This window comes from Homo sapiens, chromosome 2 (genome assembly GCF_000001405.40).
Source record: "Homo sapiens chromosome 2, GRCh38.p14 Primary Assembly".
Lineage (NCBI taxonomy): Eukaryota > Metazoa > Chordata > Mammalia > Primates > Hominidae > Homo > Homo sapiens.
This window is the reverse complement of record NC_000002.12, coordinates 172,781,555-172,805,619: the sequence shown is the minus strand read 5'-3', so window position 1 is coordinate 172,805,619 and position 24,065 is coordinate 172,781,555. Positions and strand designations below refer to the sequence as shown.

The 24,065-nt window shown below is 42.3% G+C and overlaps 1 protein-coding gene across 21 annotated transcripts in view, besides 1 other annotated feature; it reads right to left on the bottom strand.

Moving 5' to 3' along the window:
• RAPGEF4 (Rap guanine nucleotide exchange factor 4) overlaps positions 1–24,065 on the bottom strand; it is a 317,576-nt gene that overhangs the window by 247,274 nt on the left and 46,237 nt on the right. For 20 of the 21 annotated variants that reach the window (NR_164739.1, NR_164740.1, NR_164741.1 and 17 more), the window contains exons 2-3: positions 10,453–10,595; positions 8,007–8,095 (exon numbers count right to left, since the gene is read on the bottom strand). Coding sequence is in view for 15 of the 21 variants with exons in the window: in NM_001375864.1 (NP_001362793.1) it covers positions 8,007–8,095; positions 10,453–10,595 (232 nt within the window). In the remaining 6 variants the exon portion in view is untranslated. Of the gene's footprint in view, positions 1–8,006; positions 8,096–10,452; positions 10,596–24,065 lie in introns of those variants that run through there. The other variant, XM_047443028.1, reaches the window with a different exon arrangement.
• Positions 2,066–2,256: a silencer, noted in NCBI's record as "fragment chr2:173668092-173668282 (GRCh37/hg19 assembly coordinates)". NCBI's record gives its function as "represses an EF-1alpha promoter that drives an FKBP-Casp9 reporter gene in an ReSE screen in HepG2 liver carcinoma cells {active_cell/tissue: HepG2}" and the evidence as "EXISTENCE:reporter gene assay evidence [ECO:0000049][PMID:32094911]".

The window sequence follows — 24,065 nt, the reverse complement described above, 5'->3', positions numbered from 1 at the left end:
CAGGTTGGGACACCTTAGGAGGATGAAGTGGTCTGTGGGCAGGTCCCCTTCTTGGTGCTCTTTTCCTTGGGTTAAGATGAAGAATGGCTAAGGCAGGAAGGGTGTCTGAGAAGCTGGGAGAGATGCCTCTGATAATTACGCATAGTGGTAAGAGTGTTGCAGTAGGTTTCATTTTATAGAGTAGTGAAATAAATATAATTTATAGAAAGATAATTACAAGGATTTGTCAGCCTTTAAAAGTTCCTGAAAGTAATAGGGGCAGAATAATCTATGCATTTCCTACAATTCTTAGGACAAACACGTTTTCAAGGCAGTAACAAAAGAAATGAAAGCAATGCAGCCCCAGCTCCTAAGGGAGGGTCTCCGAGAGGCAGACAGAGTCCACCGTCCCTCCCGTCCAGGGACCATTGTCTCCCCTCCAGTCTCTTGAAGCCTTGAATTAGGGAAACTTGACTGAGAGGAAAACAAAGAGAAGAAGCAACATGTGGTCCTGGGGCCTGCCTGGAAAGGGCCTGACTGTGAGAGGGGAAAGCAGTGGGTTCCCCTGCTCAGCAGGAATCCATGCCACTATCTGATGCTTCCTGGGCCCAGAGAAGACCCATGGGGTAAGGCCCAGTCAGCCTGCAACTCACGCCTCCTACAATGGCCAACTTCTGGCCATTCTGGTGGGTGGGCTGACCAGGGGTGACACTGGAAGGTGAGCCATTCCAGTCCTGCAGCCCGATAGCTTTTTTCTCCATCCTCCCTTCCTAAGAGAGGGCCTGAAGTGTACATCAGCACTCATCGAAATGTCTGTAGTTAATACTTCTCTGAAATGTAGAATCATGACTTTTTTTAATATATAATTTTAGGCTTCAGCAATCCAGGGGCAAAAAAGGATCCCCATCACCCCTCTCCACCCCACTACGGACACTGGAGGAGCTTGTGAGCAGGTGCCCTTGGGAGCAGATGCCTTGCAGGCTTTGCAGATTCCCCAGGGAATGACTGCACGCACTGCCTAAAGCACAGGAGAGCAGAGGCAGAATGCTGGATGGGCTCAGGAGGCCAGGTACTCCCCGTTCCCAGGCTCACCACTGCGTCATCCTGAACAGCTACTCAGGCATCAGGCACTAAGCAAGAAACAGCATAGCTGTTTCCCAAACAGGGTAGGCTCAAACCAAAGAAAGTTCCTGAAATGCTCTGTAAATGAACAGTTACTACTACATGCTCTGGGTATATTGCTGATGAAAAATAAGTAGGACCCTCAACCCAGTATTCAAAAAATTCAGGAAGAATTTGCTAGACCAATTACACAGAAGAAGCTGTGTGTTTTTTAACCTAGACAGTAAAAAATATAAGGGAATGACAAGAAGGGAGAAAAAGTAATATTAACTTGAAACAGGAAGGCAATATGAATTTGAGTCAAATAGAATAGTTACACCCCATGTATTCTTGAAATTTATATACAGATATATCTTTCTACCACCATATGCAAGAAAGAGGTTGATTTTTTTTTTCAGAAAAAATTCCATCAAATCACTCATACTGATACAGTTTGGCTGTGTCCCCACCCAAATCTCATCTTGAATTGTAACTCCCACAATTCCCACATGTCATGGGAGGAACTGGTGGAAGGAAATTGAATTATGGGGGCAGGTCTTTTCTGCACTGTTCTCATGATAGTCTCAGATGGAGATGAGGAACTTGTTGGGAACTGGAGCAAAGGTGGCTCTTGTTATGTTTTAGCAAAGACACTGGTGGCGTTTTATCCCTACCCTAGAGATTTGTGGAACTTTGAACTTGAGAGAGATGATTTAGGGTTTCTGGCAGAAGAAATTTCTATGCAGCAAAGCATTCAAGAGGTGACTTGGGTGCCGTTAAAGGCATTCAGTTTTATAAGGGAGGCAGAGCATAAAAGTTTGGAAAATTTGCAGCCTGACAATGTGATAGAAAATAAAATCCCATTTTCTGAGAAGAAATTCAAGCCAGCTACAGAAATTTGCATAAGTAACAGGGAGCCAAATGTACTCCCCAAGACAATGGGGAAAATGTCTCTAGGACATGTCAGAGATCTTCATGGTGGCCCCTCCCATCACAGGCCCAGAGGCCTAGGAGGAAAAAATGGTTTCATGGGCCAAGCCCAGGGTACTGGTGCTATGTGCAGCCTAGGAACTTGGTGCCCTGCATCCTAGCCACTCCAGCCATGACCAAAAGGGGCCATGGTACAGCTCGGGCCATGGCTTCAGAGGGTGCAAGCCCCAAGCCTTGGCAGCTTCCATGTGGTGTTGAGCCTGCAGATGTACAGAAGTCAAGAATTGAGGTTTGGGAACCTCTGCCTAGATTTCAGAGGATGTATGGAAATGCATGGATGTCCAGGCAGAAGTTTGCTGCAGGGCTTTCATGGAGAACGTCTGCTAGGGCAGTGCGGAAGGGAAATGTGGGGTCAGAGCCCCCACACAGAGTCCCTACTGGGGAACCCCTAGTGGAGCTGTGAAAACAGCTGGTATCCTCCAGATACCAGAATGGTAGATCCACCAATAGCTTGCACCATGCACCTGGAAAAGCTGCATACACTCAATGCCAGCCCATGAAAGCAACCAGAAGGGAGGCTATACTCTGCAAAGCCATAGGGACCAAGCTGCCCAAGACGATGGGAACACGCCTTCCACCTCTTGCGTCAGCATGACCTGAATATGAGACATAGAGTCAAAGGAGATCATTTTGGAGCTTTAAGATTTGACTGCCCTGCTGGATTTCAGACTTGCATGGGGCCTGTAGCCTTTGTTTTGGCCAATTTCTCCCATTTGGAATGGCTGTATTTAACCAATGCCTGTACCCCCATTGTATCTAGGAAATAACTAAGTTGCTTTTAATTTTACATGCTCATAGGCAGAAGGGACTTGCCTTGTCTCAGATAAGACATTGGACTGTGGACTTTTGAGTTGATGCTGAAATGAATTAAGACTTTGGGAGACTGTTAGGAAGGCATGATTGGTTTTGAAATGTGAGGACATGAGATTTGGTAGTGGCCAGGGATGGAATTATATGGTTTGGCTGTGTCCTCACCTAAATCTCACCTTGAATTATAACTCCCACAATTCCCATGTGTTGCAGGAAGAACCTGGTGGAAGGTAATTGAATTATGGGGGTGGGTCTTTCCTGTACTGTTCTCTGATAGTGAATGAATCTCACAAGATCTGACCGTTTTAAAGATGGGATTTTCCCTGCACAAGCTCTCTTTGCCTGCTGCCATCCATGTAAGATGTGACTTGCTCATCCTTGCCTTCTGCCATGATTGTGAGGTCTCTCTAGCCATGTGGAACTATAAGTCCAATAAACTCATTTCTTTTGTAAATTGCCCAGTCTCAGGTATGTCTTTCTGAGCAGCATGAAAATGGACTAATATACATACCTAATAAATGTATAGCATAAAATACTATTGCAGAATCTGGGAAAGGTGGTCTCCCTCATGTATTCCCATTTCCATTAGTAGCATCACTGTCCACCTCTTCACCCAAGTCAGGAGCCTCCCTTTCTCTCTACACCTCCACATCCCATCACCGTCAGTTCTAACCATTTTGTCTCCATCTTGTACACAGTGTACTTCACTTTCCCTCCCTATCACCTACACTTATCTACCCCACCCTCTAATCCAGATGCCCTTTGGAGGGAGGGCCACACCCCTTTCACTGTGCATCGCCAGATCAAAGAGAGGGTAGGAGGAGGATTGCCTCCAACAGCACCTGGGCAGTGGGCTTAGAGGGGAGGGCTGTGGGGCTCAGAGCTGCATCAGACACCCAGGTGGGAGTTGGAGAAGCTGCAAGGGGAAAGCTCCTCCCTGCATTCCTTATTCCTTAATGGCTGGCTCAGCTCCCCACCTCTCTTCCTTCCCCTTCCGGTCCTTCTGGTTGGCACCTATACAACCACAATGGGCAAGCATTGAGCCCCAGAATCACAAAGAACTGGCCCAGATACCCAGCAGCTTTATGACCTTGGGCAAGCTGTTGAATATCTAGCCTCTAAAATGAGACAAACCACAGCACTAAGGGGAGGGCAGTGTGGTGAGTGCTGGTGGGATAATGCTTGTGACACACTGGGCACATAGCCTCCTGTCATAGGCGCCCATTGCCAGCAGCCACTCCCGCTCTTCTTCCACCATCCTGGCTCACACCCCACTGAGGGTCTGAAACCTAGTGCTAAGTTTGGGAATTTGTCACTACATCCCTCTGGCTCTCAGATGAGAAAGCAGACATGCAGGGCAGCAAGGAGCAGGCTGGCAAGAAACTCTGCCCCATCCTCCCTGAAAGACTTGACTCTGTGCCATCACCTCTTTTCTCTTTCCTCAGTTTTCTTTTAGACTGTGTAACTTTTCCTCCTTCACTTTTATCATCCTCCTCACACCTCTGTTCATGAGTGCGCCCAGCAGAAGAACATGCAATTTGGAGGATGTCAGACCTGAATTCAAATCTCAGTTTGCCCATGTACACCTGTGTGGCCCTGGGAAAGCTGCACCTATGTCACTGAGCCTTGTTTTCAAGCCTTTGGTAAAACAGGACACAAATGCCTAAAGATTAATTCAGTTAATGTCCATGGAACCCCTCACACGAGCCACACAAGGAAGGCACTTAGCAATGATCTTTTCTGGTCTCTAGGGGTAGGAATTCTAGGTCTCTCCTTGCTCCTTACCCATGGCCTTCACCCAACCCCATTTCCCTCCTCATTGGGGTCTATTATGGTTAATTGTATGTGTCAACTTGGCTAGACTATAATGGCCAGTAGTTTGGTTAAATACTAATCTAGATGTTGCTGTAAGGATATTTTTTAGATATGATTAACCTTTACAATCAGTAGACCTTAAAGTTGATTACCCTCCATGATGTGCGTGTACCTCGTCTACTCACTTGAAGGCCTCAGAGCAAATAGGTTTCCCTTGAGGTTTCTTGAGGAATTCTGCTTCTGCCAATAACTCTTACCTGAATCTCCAGCCTGCCAGCTCTAGACTTCAGACCTGCCAGCCCCCACAATCATGTGAGCCAGTTCCTAAAAACAAACCTGTCTCTCTCTCTCTCTATCTCTATCTCTTAGTGATTCTGTTTCTCTGAAGAACCCTGACTTGTATGGGGCACTACTCTGTCATGATAAACAATCCCCCTGATTTACCACATTGTTAGTGGGCAGAGACCCAGAGCCCATCACAAGGCCAGCATGGGTAGATATGGCAGTTTTGTTTCTCCCTTGCAAGCATCTTGGCATGGAAGGGGGCTCTGCCATCTTGGTCATTCTCCTTAGCTTCTTTCTCCCATGTGGCTGGACCATGTCCTACCTTCAGAACTGGCTGGAAAGCTGGGCCCTGTTTATCTCAGGCTGTACTCTAGAGGGCTAGAGGGTGTAGGAGTCAATGAGCTTTCTCTTCCTTTTATTTTAGTGATACAAATCCATCCAGAAAACTCTGGTTGAACATTGTGGGATGAAATACATAAAGGAAGCAGTAAGCCAGCTTTGGTATTAAATTAACTCATTCCTAACAACTAAAAGAAGACCGAGCCCAGCTTAGGTAAGTTCTCTGCATTGGTTTTGAGGTCAAAATTATAGGTAAATCTAAAATTAAAAGTTTAGTTAAAATTGTTGAATCTGTAGCTAATAACCCTGCTATTATGGGTTATTATAGCATGGCTAGGATGCCATGGTGAGAGATAACTGGTTAAGGGCAATATTCCCGAAACCCCTGGCCAGATACTATTTTAATACCATCAAAATCTCGGCCAGCTTTCACATCTGGTGTGTCAGCACATAAGAGCTGGTGTTATGTATCATCCCCTTAGGCACATCTGCTCTTCCTTTTCTGATTCTCCTTCTCTCTCCTTCTCGAGATTTCCTCTTCTTTCTTTTCTCCTCCTTAATTCTCATCTTGCTTCCCTTTCCTCTCTTTTGTCACATTTCTCTTTTCAGCTTCTCCACTCTCTCCATTATCACTCATTCAGGAACCACTCGAGCTGCAGGAGGAACTGAGCAGAATGATCCTGTGTAGGCCCTGTCCCCAGGGAACATCTATGCAGGTAAAACCTGGGGAAAGGAAGTACCAGGAGCAGCTCTGAGCAAAAAAGCCCAGAGAGTCCCCACCAGGACAGCATCCACAGGTAGGAGATATGCAGAAAGAAGGACATGGGGTAATCTGAAAGGATGACAAAAGGCAGGGAGAGAGGGAAGTTGCATGTTGCCTCATGTTTCTTAAGAGTCAAATGGTGGAGAGCAGTGGTGAAGAGCATCTGTTCAGGTGCCTGACTGCTTGGGTTTTAATCTTGGTTTCTCTAATTTCTAGATACAATACTCGAGGTAAGTTATTTAACCACTCGGGGACTTCGTTTTCTCATCTGTAAAATGAGAACAGTAATACGACCTACCTCATGGTTGACTTGAGGATTAAAGAAGTAAATAAATACCTGTTAAGTGCTTGGAACACTGCCAAGTAAATATCCAAGAAGGACTGGATAAATCACATATGGATAAATATCTTGATTATATAGGATATGGCAAATATCCAAGAAATGCTAACTGTTCTCCTTCCCATTCGAAACTGAGGCCGCTTACAAGAATCAAAACCCACCTCTCACCTTGACTGTCTCTGAAATCCAAGAGAAAGCCAGCCCTGTGAGAGACAGCAAGAGGAAAAGTACCATCAAAGTTGGGAAGCACAGGTTCCAGGCTGTGTCTAATGGAATTTTCATGCACTGATGCACAGAAAGAGTATGCTATGGATTACACAGGATTTGGACACTGGCCTGAGAATTTAACCCTCCATTACAATGGGTATCACCCAGGAAACTACATCGCAAATTCCAAATGCACACCTTACCAGCAATCTTTTGGGATACCACTCCATTTTTAAGATGGTGACTGCCCACAACTTCAATACACATACAAGTTCCTAAAAAATGTAAACCTCAAATTTGGTGTGTCATAAATGTTTCTCACATTTGAAGTGTGCTACCTATGAAAAAGCCTCCAAAACATTGCCTTAAATATGACACTTGGCAGAAGGTTATTTGTCCCTTTAAATAATTCTTTAATTTTTTTGGACAATTCTTTCAGATTTCACAATTAACTGATTCTCTTCCTTCAGTTTTTTTCTGAATCCTGAATATGTGGAAATAAGACTTGGAACATTTTCATAGTGATACCTGATGGTGGCCTTTTATGGGTCATACTTTTCAGACTCGAGATTCTTGGCTCTAAACAGTGAGGTTGTGTACATTTTGGCCACTTGTCTTAATGACAGAGCAAGAGTCACTGCAGATGTGAAAGAAGGCCCTGGGTTCGACTTAAATATTTATATATTTTTTCTTTTTTTAATATTCTTTCTTTCTTTTTTAATTTTGTTTTCGTTTTTTTAATATTCATAAATCTTGTGAACAGAAAAAGAATGAGTTTCATCTACTAGGATGCCAAACTCCTCAGAGGTGACTAATGAAAATAAAGCCAGTGCTGTACTTTAGAGGGAAAATAATATTATTAGCCTTCCACATTTGAAAAGACAAGGCAGAGAAATAGAGATTTCAGGGGGACTGCAACAGCCACACATCCCCTGCATCACAAGATCTCCTACAAGGCCGATGAGGGGATCACTTCTAGGACAAAGAAAATTCAAGATACAAAGATGGAGAAAGGATCCAAGAGGAAACATAGGAAGACTTCTCCTTCTCCTTCACTCACATTTCACCCTATACAGCAATTTGTGTCACACTGAAATTGCTTGCATTTCCAAATAGACCTCAAGCTCCTAGAAAGCAGCCCCAATGTGTTCTTGCATTTCATGTTTTGACACCTGGCACCATACTCAAATCAGGGAAGACATTCAATAGGTGTTTGTTGAGTAACTTAATAAAGGAATCCAACAAACAGTGCTGAACTCCTTATTGTGGGAAAGAGGAAATGGACTTGAAAATGTAATTTTAATGGCATAAAAGACATAGGGATAATAAGTCTTTAAAAAAAATAAATCCTACTTTCAAAAAAATAGACCATATTACCTGGTGACTGCTGGTCTCAGATACTTTAACATCCAAAGACCCTGCCAGGACAGCATACCAGTTTGTTCCAATATCACCCTGGCGAAATACTGGGAAAAAAAAATTGTGATATAAATATAACAGATACAACTTGGTTTTACTATATGATCTGCCAGTTTTTCACTGGTCCAAGCATGTCTTGGACCTAACTGAGCTTACCACCCTTCCCCTATCTGTTGCCCACAGGAACATAACATGTTTTTCTTTACCTCATCTGTCAACAAAGCTATATCCTATTTATTCAATATTCTGTGAAGTGGAACCTTATTAAAGAGAACTCTATCATACTTACAGAGCTGTAATAAAGATGATAACTTTAAATGTTATAAGATCCTTTGAATTTAAGAAGAATTGGCTGATATTTCCCAAGACTATATTAAAAGCAATGTGTTTTCTAGACTAGCACCTCTCCTTTTAAGGTGACCAATGATTGATTTAAAAAACCAAAATCTGCTTTGTTTAAAAATTTTAACTACTATATTATCATTGTCCATTTTCTTATTCTTTTTATAAATTCACTGCTTTTAAGCATTTAGAAATGATCCTCATCAGAAATTTTTGAACCTGATCTTGCTCTAAGTTTGTCCCTCTCAGAGAGAAAATATTTAGGTATTTAGATAGAACCATACTTCCCATATCATATTAAGACCAAGTTTGGGAAAGTAATTCCAAAACACTGGTTCAAAAATCTCATGCAAACTAACTGTCCTTTTAAATATCCTAACTAAATAACTAGATGGAGTGACTTGATATTTTAAAATCCTCTTCACACTTAAAGTCAGAGGTCAAGTAACTCAATGAAAAATCACATGACGGCTCGTGGGACAACCGAGTCCTGGCAAGGCTAGTGCTTATTGGAGAAGAGCAAGCTTCTGGGAACCATAATTAATGATGACATGGTGGCATATGCCTGTAGTCCTAGCGACTCAGGAGGTTGAGGTGGGCAGATGGCTTGAGCCTAGGAGTTCAAGGTTGTAGTGAGTCATGATTGCACCACTGCACTCCAGCCTAGAGTAGCGCAGAGTGCAATGGCGCAATCTCGGTTCACTGCAACCTCGGCCTCCTGGGTTCAAGCAATTCTCCTGCCTCAGCCTCCTGAGTAGCTGGGACTATAGGTGCCTGCCACCACGCCCGGCTAATTGTTTGTATTTTTAGTAGAGACAGGGTTTCACCATGTTAACCAGGATGGTCTCAATCTCCTGACCTATTGATCCACCCACCTCAGCCTCCCAAAGTGCTGGGATTACAAGCGTGAGCCACTGTGCCTGGCCCACAAAATATTAATGGTAGAAACTGTAGGTGATTTTTATTTTGTTGACCTTCTAAATTTTCTACAATAACGTTGTGACTCACCCTGTTGCTTTCCCACCCAGAAACACTCATGCCCTCTTGTCTAACTGAACCCAGGTTTTAGACAAGTTTCCACCCTCATCTATAGGGCTAGGTGTTAGCTCCACTAGGGCAATCATGATTGGTCTAAATCAGTCCTGGTGATCCCATTATTTTTGCAAGTGATTGGTTTAGACTTAGGCATGTGATGCATTTCTGGCCAATGAGTCAATACAAGAAGGCTGCTGGGAGACTTCTAAAACAGAGACCCAGAAAGAAATAGTCCTTCAGCAGGATGTTTTTGTATCAGTAAATAATGCATCCAACAGCTGTAGCTGTCAGAACAATTTGGGACAAGTCTGAGGACAAAGCCCAACACCTCAGAATGCATACAAAAACAAAAAATACAGGAAGGACCTGAAGCCTTAATAATTTCACTGAGTCACTTCACTAACCAACCCTGAAGTCATTCTACCTCAGGACTTCTTCTGTATAAGTAATTGATTTTTTTTTCTTCTTGTATAAGTCATTGAATATTCCAATTAGTTGAAAGGGAGTTTTCTGTGAGTGCAGCATAAAGTGTTCCAACAGAAGAACTATTACTTCTTTAATGAAAAAATACTTTTTAAAAAATCCAACTGTTACTCTATCTCCCTGCCCCTTATTCACACCTGGAATAGATGATATTACTGGCATTAATTCAAAACATTACTATCAGCACTAGTTAAGAGAACTTTTATCTTAATATCCTATTGGCCACATATTTCTTGGATTAGAGAAGACAATTATGTGAATTTCTAAAGATATAGCTAAATGTGTGAAACATTACATCCCTCCAGCTCCATCTAGAAAGTTGGTTGCCTTGGAAGAACCATTTACGTTCTGTGAACAAAGGAGTTAGGGAAACACCTACATGCAACTGAATAAACAGACTAGAGGGAAATGTCACCTTAATACTTTTGGTTGAAGCTCAAATATTTAGCACATAAATACTCCATTTGCTATTTATCTCCATAAAGTAACCACAAATCAGCATAAACCATACATGGAAATATACTACAAGAGTTGCATTTCTTACATGTTATTCCCTTTTCCAGATTCTCATAATAACCACATAAGCAAATCTGATGAAGGAGATTTGGGTGAAATTTCTCAAAAGCTTTAACTTCTTTCAGTCGAGTGAAGATTATATCCACATCTTCGCTGGATCGCTCCAGTGGTCTGTATAGGGAGAAAAGGCACAAAAGCTATGTCAGTAAAGATTTACCTCAAAGTGAATCAACAGGCCTCATTTTAATTATATTCAAATTTACCCAAATATCCCACTTGTGAATATTTCATTGCAAATATTTATCCACCCCCTTATAGGTATTTCTGGGCTAATACAGACATTTCTGGAGCTTTACCAACTATTCGCCTTAAATCACTACTATTGCAGATGCTACAGCAGGAGTCAACCTCAGAGTGCTAAGTTCAAGGTGATACTCTGGTATAATACTTAATCCCTTAGAAGCACAAGATACATGAAAATGCAGATTCTACTAAAAAATGAAGTCACAAACACAAATGCCTGCAGGGGCCAATGAGATAAAGGAAGTGGGTAGAAAGAGCAAGATATAAGGGAAAAAAATCTCTAAGAAAACAACACTGAAATCACAAAGACAAATGAGAAGTGACAGCCTCAGTGTTGGTGATTCTCCAGGGAATGGTGGGCATCAGGGTGAACTGCAAACGGGACTGTCCGCAGGGAGCAGCTCTTATTTGGCTGTTTTCCTTCTTCTTAGTTTTCTGTGTAAATGTGAGCCCAGATGTTGTCAAATCTTCCCATTGTTCAAGGTAAATCTAGGTGTGTGGACATTTGTCTGCTTTTTTCTTTTTTCTTTTTTTTTTTTTTTTTTGAGATGGAGTTTCACTTTTGTTGCCCAGGCTGGAGTGCAATGGCATGATCTTGGCTCACTGCAATCTCTGCCTCCTGGGTTCAAGCGAATACAGCCGCCCGCTACTACATCCAACTAATTTTTTGTATTTTTAGTAGAGATGGGGTTTCACTATGTTGGCCAGGCTGGTCTTGAACTCCCGACCTCAGGTGATCCACCCACCTCAGCCTCCCAAAGTGCTGGGATTATAGGCTCACTTTGTCACCCAGGCTGTGTGCAGTGATGCAATCTTGGCTCACTGCAGCCTTGACCTCCAGGGCTTAAGTGATCCTGCCACTTCAACCTTCCAAGTAGCTGGGATTACAGGTGCACTCCACCACGTCCAGCTAATTTTTTGTACTGGCGGGGTTTCATCATATTGCCCAGGCTGGTCTCAAACTCCTGGGCTCAAGCAATCCTCCCGCCTCAGCCTCCCAAAGTGCTAGGATTACAGGCATGAGCCACCATGCCCAGTCTGTTCATATTTCTTGAACACTGTGTGGGCCACACACATAAAAAAAAATCTCTGGAATAGATGCAACCTGCTGACTGCCATTTCATAACCTCTGGATTAAGATAAATCAAAGAACCAAACAAAAATAAGACAGTTTTACACACTACATAAACTATTTTTTTCTTTTCTTTGAGCAATTTTCCAAGTCTGTTCCTTCCATGTGCTTTGCAGGAACCCACTGCTGTTCTTGATGGATATTTCACATTATATAGAAACTATCATGTATTCCCCAGAGCATTCTGGGATCAGAGGAAACGAACTGGATGAGGATGTGACAGAGACAAGTAATGTTCACCAAATAGCCATGTGCTCCCATGAATGTACTAGCCTCCTTTGTAGTTATGTTGGGGCTGGACTGAGAACAAAACTAGCATATATTTATTCTGAGGTGAGACTGATAAGAGCCGGGGGCCTCTCTTCTTCAGGAACAACTTTGAAGGGTGTTATGGGTTGAACTGTGTCTCCTCAAAAGATACATCAGGGACCTGATACTCAGCACCTGTGCATGTAATCTTCTTTGGAAATAGGGTCTTGTAGATGCAATCAAATTAAGATGAGGTCACACTGGATTATGGTTGGCCCTAATCTAATAACTAGCACCCTTAAAAAAAGAGGGGAATTTGGACAGAGAGACACCGGGAAAACAGCCATTTGGAGGTGGTGACAGAGACTGGAGTGATGCATCCACCAGCAAGGAATGCCGAAGATTGCTGGCAACCTGCAAAAGCTAGAAAGAGACAAGAAGGATTGTTCCCTAGAGCCTTCAGAGAAGTCATGTGCCTCCCACACCTTGATTCTGGACTTCCAGCCTTCAGAACCCTGAGAGAAAAAAGTGTTTGTTGTTTTAAACCATTCAGTTTGTGGTATCTTGTTCCAGCAGCCCTAGGAAACTAAGACAGGAGGCATGTGTTTTACATGCCATAGCCACAAGATGGAGAAGAATGTACAACCCACAAAAGATTCTGTGTAAGTGGCAGGTACATTATCAGAGCATCACCCAGCATTACCCAGACTAATACAGAAGTCAAGACTAGCTAGGCCAGAGTTCAAGGGACTTGGGACATTGTCAGAAGACAGATTCCATCATGAGAGATGAACATTTTCAGAGGACATGAGTAGATGATCTGTCACTAAGTGGAAGACCTAAGATACAGGCTTTCCTGAGCTTAGTTTAAAAGCTCTTCATCTTGCTCAATTTTCACCCCATCACACTTTTAGGCCCAAGAAAACTAGATTCAAAGAATATGCCCACAACCTCCCTGGCCTCCCAACAAACCCCTACTAGAAGGGTTTGGATTCTGCTTCCTGGGGAAGAGGAAGGGAAATCCTGATGTGTGTGTGCCCAGTCTCTGAGATGACAGCATGCCTGAAAGCACTGAGAGATGTGCAGGCTTGACTTGGGGAAATACAACACATCAGTATCAGTGCCTCTTCCTCCTATTACCCCTTCAGAAGGGCTTTCTAAACTCCTTACCAGAAACTATGTCCTCAAAGTTAAGGGGCTTTGGAACAGAGACTAGGACTTCAGCAGTTAATAAGGTGGTATGGACAATGGTGCAGATAACTTTCAGTCTTGGTGTGTCTGGGGGGCAGCAAGGACAGCAGCAGCTGGCAGAGGCGCCCCTACTGGGGGATCCCAGACAGTAAAGCACACTTCCCGGGAGGCAGAGCTGGTGCTGGTGCCAGCAGGGAGTCAGGTTGCGGCCACAGAAGCACTGGTAGCAGCCACAGGCCCAAAGCAATGGCAGCATGCAAGTGACCGTGGGAGGAATCATAAGAACTAGATGAGCTAGAAACTGACTGGACATTGATATGGCAGATTCTACTTAGCTACATAGGAAAAGAGACAAACAGAGATTAGAATCCATCTTCCACAAAGAAAGAAAGAGCATGCCTTTTTGTTTATTCTCACCAGAGCATCTCCCACATTAGGAGTGTAGACTAGGGCAGCTAAAAAGATTTTTAGCCTGACACTCACGAGAAAACAGTAGAAGAAAAATGTAGGTACTTCTATACAGTCCAAAACAAGCACAGAAGAACTTCAAGCTTCAGAACCAGATTGTTAAATGACAAAAGACACTTGGAAAGACAAAATTAATTTGAGATAACTGGGAGAAGAATGAAATCTCTTCTCCTGATATTTTTGTGTGCCCCCAAATTAGGCCCTAACGATGTCATTCTTGTTTAATATTTAAGCCTCAGAAACAATGAAAAGCAACCTTCTATCTGTCATTAATTTTATTGGGTACTTCATGGAGTGGGGAAAATTTCATTTGGCTATTAACAGACACCTTTACTATTCGATCTCTGGAAACTACCACCAGTGATAATCCTTTTGTGAATCTCTAATTTCATAATGCAATGTATATTCTCACCTCTCTAGAGTTCATGTCTGGGACCTCCTTTATCGATCCTACAGTGCCCGAAACAGGGCCAACCATACAAAAAGTCCTTGCATGTAATCTTCTACAGCGACCTCAAACTGAACTTATCTTCTCTCCCACATCTGCTACTGCACCTGCCCCCCTTATTTCCATGCATGGAGTAGACTCACCCTCTGCTATGGTCTAAATAGCATAGAGGTGAGCCTACTCCTTCTGCTATTTGGTCCCTCAAAACTCATGGGTCAGAAATTTAATCACCAGTGCAACAATGTTGGGAGGTGGAGTTTAAGGAAAAGTGCTTAGGTCATGAGGGCTCTGCCTTCATGCAGTATCTGTGGATTAATGAGTGGATTAATGCTGCTATAAAAAAGGCTTGCAGGAATAGGCCCACCCCTTTCTACCTTCCACCATGTGAGGACACAACAAGAAGACTCTGACCAGATAGATGCTGGCACCTTGATACTGGACTTCCCAGCCTCCAGAACTGTGAGAAATAAATTTCTGTTCTTTTTGAATTACCCAGTCTCCAGTATTCTGTGATAGCAGCACAAAACAGACCAAGACACTCTCCCTCACCACATCCCGGTGATTTTACCTGTGAATGTCTCTCAAATTCATCCCTCCATTAATCCTTACGCCACTCTCTCATTGAGCGTGGATAAAGGGCATATGAAGCACAAAGCACATGTTGAGACATGAATCTGAACAGCATGGCAGTCCTATCCTAGGAGGGTTCTGTCCAATAATCAGCAGAAGCATTTTAAGCAGGGTAGTGGCATGCTTGGATATGCATTTTGGAAAGATCACCTTGACTGTGACTATTAGCAGATGGGAGACAGTCAAGATCAACAGCCAAGAGGAAGTTAGGAAGTTCTTGCAGTATATCAAAATGATGATGTGGTTTCTCTAATTATAGCTCGCTCTAGGCTCCTTTCTTCTCCCTTCATAACGATGAACAGCTGGTCCCCAAGCAAAAGCTCCAAGTACAGAGAATTGATTTTCTTTAGCCTGGCATCTAATATCCAGGGCCTTTTATAAAAAATGACTTTTTAAAAACTTTCATTTTTAAAACATGTTCAAACAACAACAAAAGAATCATTTACAACCTCTACAACTTGGTATTTAAAAAAATTAATATCTAATTAAGAAATAGCCTAAGGACTTGAATAGACATTTCTCCAAAGAAGACATACAAATGGCCAACGGATATGAAAAGGTGCTCATTGTCACTAATCATCAGGGAAATGCAAATCAAAGCCATAATGAGATATTACCTTACATCTATCAAGATGGCTATTATAAAAAAAAAAATGTTGGTGAGGATGTGAGGAAACTGGAAACTTTGCACACTGTTGGTCAGTATCTAAAATGGTGTGGTTGCTATGAAAATCAGTTTAGAGATTCCTCAAAAAGTTAAAAATAGAACTACCATTCATCCAGCAATCTCACTTCTGGGTATTTATCTGAAAGAATTGAAATCAGGATCTTGAAGAGATATTCACACTTCCATGTTCATTTCAGCATTATTCACAGTAGCCAAGATACAGAAACAACCTAAATGCCTATCAGTAGATAAATGGATAAAGAAAATAATACACATATACACACAATGGAGTATTATTTACCCCCTGAAAATGAAGGACATTCTGCAATCTGTGACAACATGCATGAACCTTGAAGACATTCTGCTAAGCGAAATAAACCAGTCTTAGACAAATACCGCATATTTCCACTTATGAGGTTTCTAAAATAGTCAAATTCATAGAATAAAAGAGTGGAATGGTGGCTACCAGGGACTGGAGTGAAAGGGAAATGAAGAGTTATTATCAGCTGACCTAGAGTTTCAGTCAAGAAAGATGAATAAGCTCTAGAGATCTGCTGTATAACACTGTACTTATACCCAACAAAAATATATCCTACACTTAAAAATTGGTTCAGAGGGTAGATCTCATAGTAAGTGTTCTTAACACAATAAAATAAAAATTTTAAAAAGAATCATTTGTAAACAAAGACACTGTAGAACGCAGGATCATAAAGTGGCCCCCTATGACCCACACCTTGTATAATCCTTTTGAGGCCGGGTGGGAGCTCCAATTTGCTTTTAGCCAATAGAATACGGCAAAGTGAAGAGAGATCACTCTCATGATTATGTTATGCTGTATGGCAAAGGTGAAGAGATTTTGCAGATGTAATTATGGCCCAGAATTAGTTGACTTTGTTAATCAAAAGTGAGGTTTTCCTGGTTGGGCCTGACCTAATCAAGTGAGATATTTAAACAAGAATGGAAGGAGTGAGAGGTTCTTTTGCTGGCACTGATGAAGACAGCTGCCCTGGTTGCCTGAGGGCCTCTGAGAGGGCCATGTGGCAAGAAATGTGGGCAGTTACTGACTGACAGCCAACAAGAAAACAAGGACCTCAGGCTTACCACTGCAAGAACTGAATTCTGCCAAAAATGATGTGAGCTTCAAAGAGGTCAACTGAGCTCCAGAAAGAAGCACCTCTTATTTATTTATTTATTTTATTTTATTTTATTTTATTTAGATAGGGTCTCACTCTGTCACCCAGGCTGGATTGCAGTGGCATGATTATGGCTCACTGAAGCCTCGACCCCCTGGGTTCAAGTGATCCTTCCACCTCAGCATCCCAAGTAGCTGGGACTACAGGTGTGCATCACCATGCTCTTCTAATTTTTTTATTTTTTATTTTTTTTGTAGAGACAGGGTCTCGCCTTGTTGCCCAGGGTGGTCTTGAACTCCTAGGCTCAACCAATCCTCCTGCTTCGGTCTCCCAAAGTGCTGCAATTACATGTGAGCCACCACGCTTGGCCAGGAGCACCTTGATTTCAGCCTTTAATACTCTGAACAGAGGATCCAGACAAGCTGTGCCTAGACTCCTGCCACATGAAAACAGACAGATAATACATGTATGCTTTTTTAAGCAGCTAAGTTCATCATAATTTGTTACACAGCAACAGAAAACTAACACAAAGTTATTTTCTCACACTGACTGATTTCCTTATGGCCCAGCTTAGATTTCACTCCCTTCTTGGAGCTTTTCCTTACAACGTTTTCTCTTCTCTGAAATCCAATTGATAACATCTCTTTTTGGCATCTAACCCCATTATTTATTATTTCATGTTTCATGCATGTAAATTTTTTCTTGGAGAGACCTTCTGCTATGGTCTAAATGTTGTGTCCTAAGTCCCCGAAATTTATATGTTAAAATCCTAACCCTTAAAGTGATGGTATTAGGAGGTGGAGCCTTTGGGAGGTGATTAGACCGTAAGGGCAGAGCCCTCATGAATGGGATTAGTGCTATTATAAGAGACCCCAGAGACTAGCTCTCCATTCTGTCATGTGAAGACACAGAAAAAGGTGCTGTCTATGAGTTAGAGAGCAGCCCTCACCAGACACCAAATCTACCAGCATCTTGATCTTGGACTTCCTAGCCTCTAGAACTATGAGAAATAAATTCCAGTTGTTATAAGCCACCTAGTCTAACGTACTTTGTTAGCCAGGGCATGGTGGCTCACACCTGTAATTCCAGCATTTTGGGAGGCCAAGGTGGGAGGGTTGCTTGAGCCCAGCAGTTCAAGACCACCCTGGGCAATATGGCAAAACTACATTTCTACAAAAAATTTAAAAATGAGCCAAGCATTTTGGTGCATGCCTGTGTTCTCAGCTACTCAGGAGGTTGAGACAGGAGGATTGCTTGAGCCCAGGAGGTTGAGGCTGCAATGAGCCATGATCACGCCACTGCACTCCAACCTGGGTGACAAAGTGAAGCCCTGTCTCAATAAATAAATAAATAAATAAATAAATAAATAAATAAAGCACTTTGTTTTAGCAGCCCAAACAGTCACCTTCATTTATCTATTCATTCATCCAATAAATACTAGTTGGGTCTTATTTCTTATTAACCCTCGAATCACTATGTATTCCTGTTTTGTTTTTTTCTTCTTCTCATGGTTCCTCAGCTCTTCCAAGATGAATTTAACAGTCATCAAAAACTTTCTGACAGCAAGTTAGACAGAGGACAACCCATCTAAGTTAGCAAAAGGCTAAAACTAAAAATATTTCTGACATAAAATTATTTTAAGTTCTATATAAATCATAATGGTAATAATGTCTATTAGCAGTATCAAAAAAGACCATTTTATTAGAATGTATTGATAATCTTAAAAGGAATAGGGTTTTTAAATTTTTTTATTTTTATTTTTTGAGACAGAGTCTCACTCTGTCCCCCAGGCTGCAGCGCAAGGGCATAATCTTGGCTCACCGCAACCTCTACCTCCCAGGTTTAAGCAATTCTCCTGCCTCAGCCTCCCAAGTAGCTGGGATTACAGGTGCCTGCCACCACACCTGGCTAATTTTTTTGTATTTTTAGTAGAGATGGGGTTTCACCACGTTGGCCAGGCTGGTCTTGAACTCCTGACCTCAGGTGATCCACCCGCCTTGGCCTCCCAAAGTGCTAGAATTACAGATGTGGGCCACTGCTTCCAGCCAGGAATAGGGTTTTAAAGTTAAGTTTATTTTATTTTTTTAGAGATGGCGGTCTTGCTATGTTGTCTGGGCTAGAGGACAGTGGCCATATACAGGCATGATTATAGTGAACCAAAGCCTCAAACTCCTAACCTCAAGCAATCCTCCTGCATCAGACTCTCACGAAGCTGGGACTACAGGTACATGCCACCACATCCAGCTAATTTTGAAAATTTTTTGTAGAGATAAGGTCTCTCTATATTTCCCAGGCTGGTCTCGAACTTCTGGCCTCAAGCAGTCTTCCCACTTTGGCCTCCCAAAGCTCTGAGTCAATTCTTAATTACCACCTGGCCTATAAATAAGTGTTAAAACCATTCTTTTTTCCTTCAGGAGACGTAGACACCAGAGAAATTTATGAAATCTATGACATTTTAAATGGCTCTCCATTCACCGAACACATCCTTTCATGAATGCTCATTCATTTTATTTATTCACTCAGTAAACTATACTGCTTTACTACTATACATTAGGCACCTTAATCTGGAAGTATAAAGATGAGCAAAATGCCAACAGTATCCACGAGGAGCTCACAATCTAGTGGCAAATGGAATCAACCAAAATTAGAATATAGTATAATAAGGACTGTAATACGAGTACCAACAAGGTTCAGGGCTGGACCTTGTTTTACTACACACGGTAGTTGAATATGGAAACTATCAAAGTCAGGCATCCAGGCAATAGCAAAGGTTCTGGATTCCAGGTGCTGTCCACCTGCATTATGCAATGTGGACATCTGCTGTGCTCTTAAATTTTAATTCAGTCAACTCTGGATTATCTAGGAACTAATTAGCCAGTTCCTGAGTTAGGTGGAGCACAAAATAAGAACACAAAGGCATTTGTGGGAAAGAACACACAATAACCATAAATCAGTAAGAAACATTGTCCCCTCGATGACTTCCGTTGCTTGGCTATCTGACAGTCAATATTTGCAAACCCTTTACCGTGGAGAGTGCCCACCGCCTTCATCAATCAGCTGAGTAGACCCCTTAGTGGCAACTTCTGCCACAGCTTCTGGGGACCTCTTGGGACAGCAGATTCCAACACCCAACACACATGAGGGGTGCAGGAAGAAGAAGTGGAGAGAAAGGGGGAGGGAGGCAGAACTGCTCTCTGCCCAGTGCCTTCCCATAATTATAAAGAAAAAGCTTGGCCAAGAAATGGACCACATTAGCAGACTATGATAACACTGTCATCTTATAGGAATGTATATAATGCTCAACTACCTCAATATGTTTTTTAAATTTTCAGACGTCTTTGGAAAATCAGTAAATGTATTTCAAAACATTGAGTGTAATGTTCACTTAATATATATGCATTAGAATGACTTTAAGGTTCAGTTTGACTCTTTTTAACAGTAATTTAGCATTGCAAAGAGCTGCTCATCTCCTCCAGTGAAGAACTGTCAAATCTGAGATAATGCATGTGAGCTTTATCAATTATAAAAGGCTACAGAAGGTATTTCTAGTACCACCGTCGTCATCATCATTATTAGCCACCAAGACATTTTTTAAAAAGTATCTCAAGAAAGCAATAAGTAAAGTGCTTAAAAACATATACTAAAATTTTTCCATGCCTTTTAGAGGTTTTATGGATAGGTGTGCATTGTGTTTTTTCTCTATAACAACAGTTAAGATCTTAAATACTATGTACTCTACAATCTCAATCTTTTTATAACACTATTAGCTTTTCAAAGGGCCTTGACACTTACTGAAAATTTTGATCATTGCAGCCCTGTTAGATAAAACAGGTATTAAGAATTCCATTTTGGCTGGGAACAGTGGCTCACGCCTGTAATCCCAGCATTTTGGGAAGCCAAGGCGGGCAGATCACCTGAGGTCAAGAGTTCAAGACCAGCCTGACCAACATGGCAAAACCCCATCTCTACTAAAAATACAAAATTAGCCGGGTGTGGTGGCACATGCCTGTAATCCCAGCTACTCGGGAGGCTGAGGCAGGAGAAACACTTGAACCCGGGAGGTGGAGGTTGTGGTGAGCTGAGGTTGCACCATTGCACTCCAGCCTGGGCAACAAGAGCAAAACTCCGTCACAAAAAAAAAAAAAATAGAATCTCATTTTACACACATTTAGACACAGAAGTTAGGTGACTATTAGTATGCTAAAATCATGTATTTATAATGTCAGTGATGACATGGATATAGCAAAAGTCTTTGAAACTCAAGATGTTTACCACTTATGTTATTATTTTAATTATATGATTATTAACCACTTAGAATACTGAAATGTTTACTCTTTCCTAATTACAAGTTTTTCCAACAATGTCAACAAAATTCAGAAAGGTGTTGAAAATGCACTCAATCTGCAAGTATTTACTGAGTATGAAGACTATACTTTCAGGGATCTTTTTTTTTTTTTTTTTAAGAGTTTCGCTCTGTTGCCCAGGCTGGAGTGCAGTGGCACGATCTCGGCGCACTGCAAGCTCTGCTTCCTGGGTTCAAGCCATTCTCCTGCCTCAGCCTCCTGAGTAGCTGGGACTACAGGGGCCTGCCACCATGCCCGGCTAATTTTTTGTATTTTTAGTGGAGATGGGGTTTCAATGTGTTAGCCAAGATGGTCTCGATCTCCAGACCTCATGATCCGCCTGCCTCAGCTTCCCAAAGTGCTGGGATTACAGGCGTGAGCCACCGCTCCAGGCTCAGGAATCATTTCTATAGTTCGTTACTGAGTATCATCTGTATGACAGGCGAATAAAGTACTCGGGTGATATAAAGATCATGGTCCCTGCACACACAAAGTTAAAAATGGGTAAGAGAGATACAGAGATACGTACATCTACAGCAAGTATCAAGGTGAAATGTGGTAAGTAGCACAATGGAAATGGGAAAGAAGAGAATGGGAATCCAGGAGAGAAAGAGACTTCACGTACAGATGAAATTTCTAAAAAGACTTCATGAAGGCATTACTGTAAAATCTCCTTAAACTCAGTTTCTTCTCATTTCTTTTTTTATGACTACAGCACCAACATTGTTTGGTCATTTCATCCGAAAACTTTGGTGCATCACTGTGGCCCCTCTCCCTAGAGATCTGCTCTCCTAACTCCTCTCCCTGTGAGTTTCCTACTCACACACCCACTCCCACCACACACACACACACACACTCACACATACACACAAGCACATACACACACACAGATACCCATATACATACCCACATAAACATGCCTACAGAGATACATACATACACACACGCAAGCACCTCCTCAAGGCAATCAACTGCCCAAGTTCTCTCTCGGCTGAGGCTCTTGACTTTGTCAGTATTCAGGGTGACTCTCAGAAAAAAACCCCTTTGAAGGAGCCTGAGATCCCAGGGACCATTGCAGTTTTTCACTCACAGCTGAGATTGATCATCAGTCAGACAGGGCACACCAAGACCCCTGTGATCCTTTGGAAACATGGCCTGCACAGCCGCCACTAGGGAGCAGAGCACGTGGAGTCTGTGAATTCCTGGCATAATGCCTCCTTGTTTAGCAGTCATACCCGCTTGCTTTTATGTCTCTGTGAAAGAATGAAGAGGAAACTGCTCCCTCAAGATCCCAAATGAGATAAGAAAGTTGTGACTGGAGGTCACTGCAGACCACAATTTTGCCCTTAAGCAAAGCAATAAAAAGGTCCAAATACTTCCACCTCCCCGACCACTCTGTCCTCACTCTGTCCTCGGCCGATGGATGAATAAGATGCCACATCTGAGGCTCAGGGCTATTCAGAGAGTTGAAAAACCCCATCATTAGGCAGAGGGCCAGACCAGGCCTGCTAATATCTAAAGAATGTTTAGCCCTGCATTTGTAAGTGAAGAGAGAGAGGAAAATTTTTTGAACAGATCTACAGTGTTGCAATTTGTCTTGTTACAATTAAAATGCAATGTGAAATCGAAGTACAGCCTTGTCCAATTTTAACAGCCCCTTTTCAAAAACCTCTGACTGTTCCTGAGCATCTAACCTCAGTAGAGGATCATCAGGCTTGGCAAAGGCTCTCCACCACACACCCTCAGCCTCAGGTCACCAGACCCCAGCCAAACGGGGATGCTTATTGGATCCCAAACAGCACATAAAATAGAAGTCTACCATAATTGTCCCTCTGAAATACACTTGCCCTACTAGCATTAAGTTAAAAAATAATTTCATTTGGCTCCTTAAAATTTAGAACAACTTCTGGGATGACTCAGATAACCGAGGCTTCTTTAAAATGCTTTCCGGATGGGTTTCAACTGATGGCTTTTTTTCCTCTGTGTAATTTTCACCATAGTAAGCAAAGGCTCTCAAAAATCATTTCGTAGTACTTAGTGCTACACTCAAATTTGAGATGACTCTGTTAAAAAATTGCCACTGTTGCCCCTAAATAGTAGGAGAGCCCACGGAGGGCTTTGGGTTGAAAGAGTTAGAGAAGGGGACTCTCTTGAGTCAGGTCCTTCTGACAGTCTTCTCTTAGCTCTCTCTATTCCTGGGTAACTAGAGGGAGACCCTTCGAAGAGAAAGAACATGGAAAAAAGGAAGCACACTGAGCATGGCGGGAGGGGAAGCGACTAAGAACTTTACCTGGAACAGTGATTCTCTGCCTTTTATCCCTCCCAGCCCACCTAAGGCACAGCATGCACAGCCAGGACTAGCAACACATGGAACACATTTTTAACAGGGAAGGTTTGACAAAGACTTTCTCCAACTGAATCAGCTGGTTAGGAAGCTCTAGCTTTAAGAAAGAAGTAGTTTATGAGTTAATGATGAGTTTATGAGTTATTTATTAGTTATTTGTATATCTTATCCCAGCTATTCATGGAACACCCCTTGCATCTTGCCACCTCCCCAGGTGTTCACCAGTACCTGCTGCTGGTGCCCACCCTGGTGACAACTTGAAGAACCCACAGAATAAGTAGGTGAAGGTGTGAAGTCGGGGACTTGAATTTAGAGGAGTACAGCTGGCCCTCCATATCTGTGGGTTCTGCGTCTGAAGAATCAACCAACCACAAATTGAAAATATTTTGAATAAATAAATAAAAAACAATACAATACAAAATAGTACAAATTTTAAAACTACACTGTATAACAACTATTTGCATCCTGTTTACATTGTATTAAGTAATCTACAGAGGGTATGTGTAGGTTATATATTAGGTGTTGTATTAGGTTGTGTGTGTGTGTAGGTAGGTAGGTTATGTAACACAAATACTACACCATTTTATATCAGGGTCTCGAGCGTCTGCAGATTTTGGTATCCAAGCGGGGTCCTGGAACAAATCCTCCCATGGGTACCCCAGGACGACTGTACATAAATGCAGCATTGGAAATTTAAGAATGTTTATCAGAAGTCCTGTTGTTGGCATGGTGG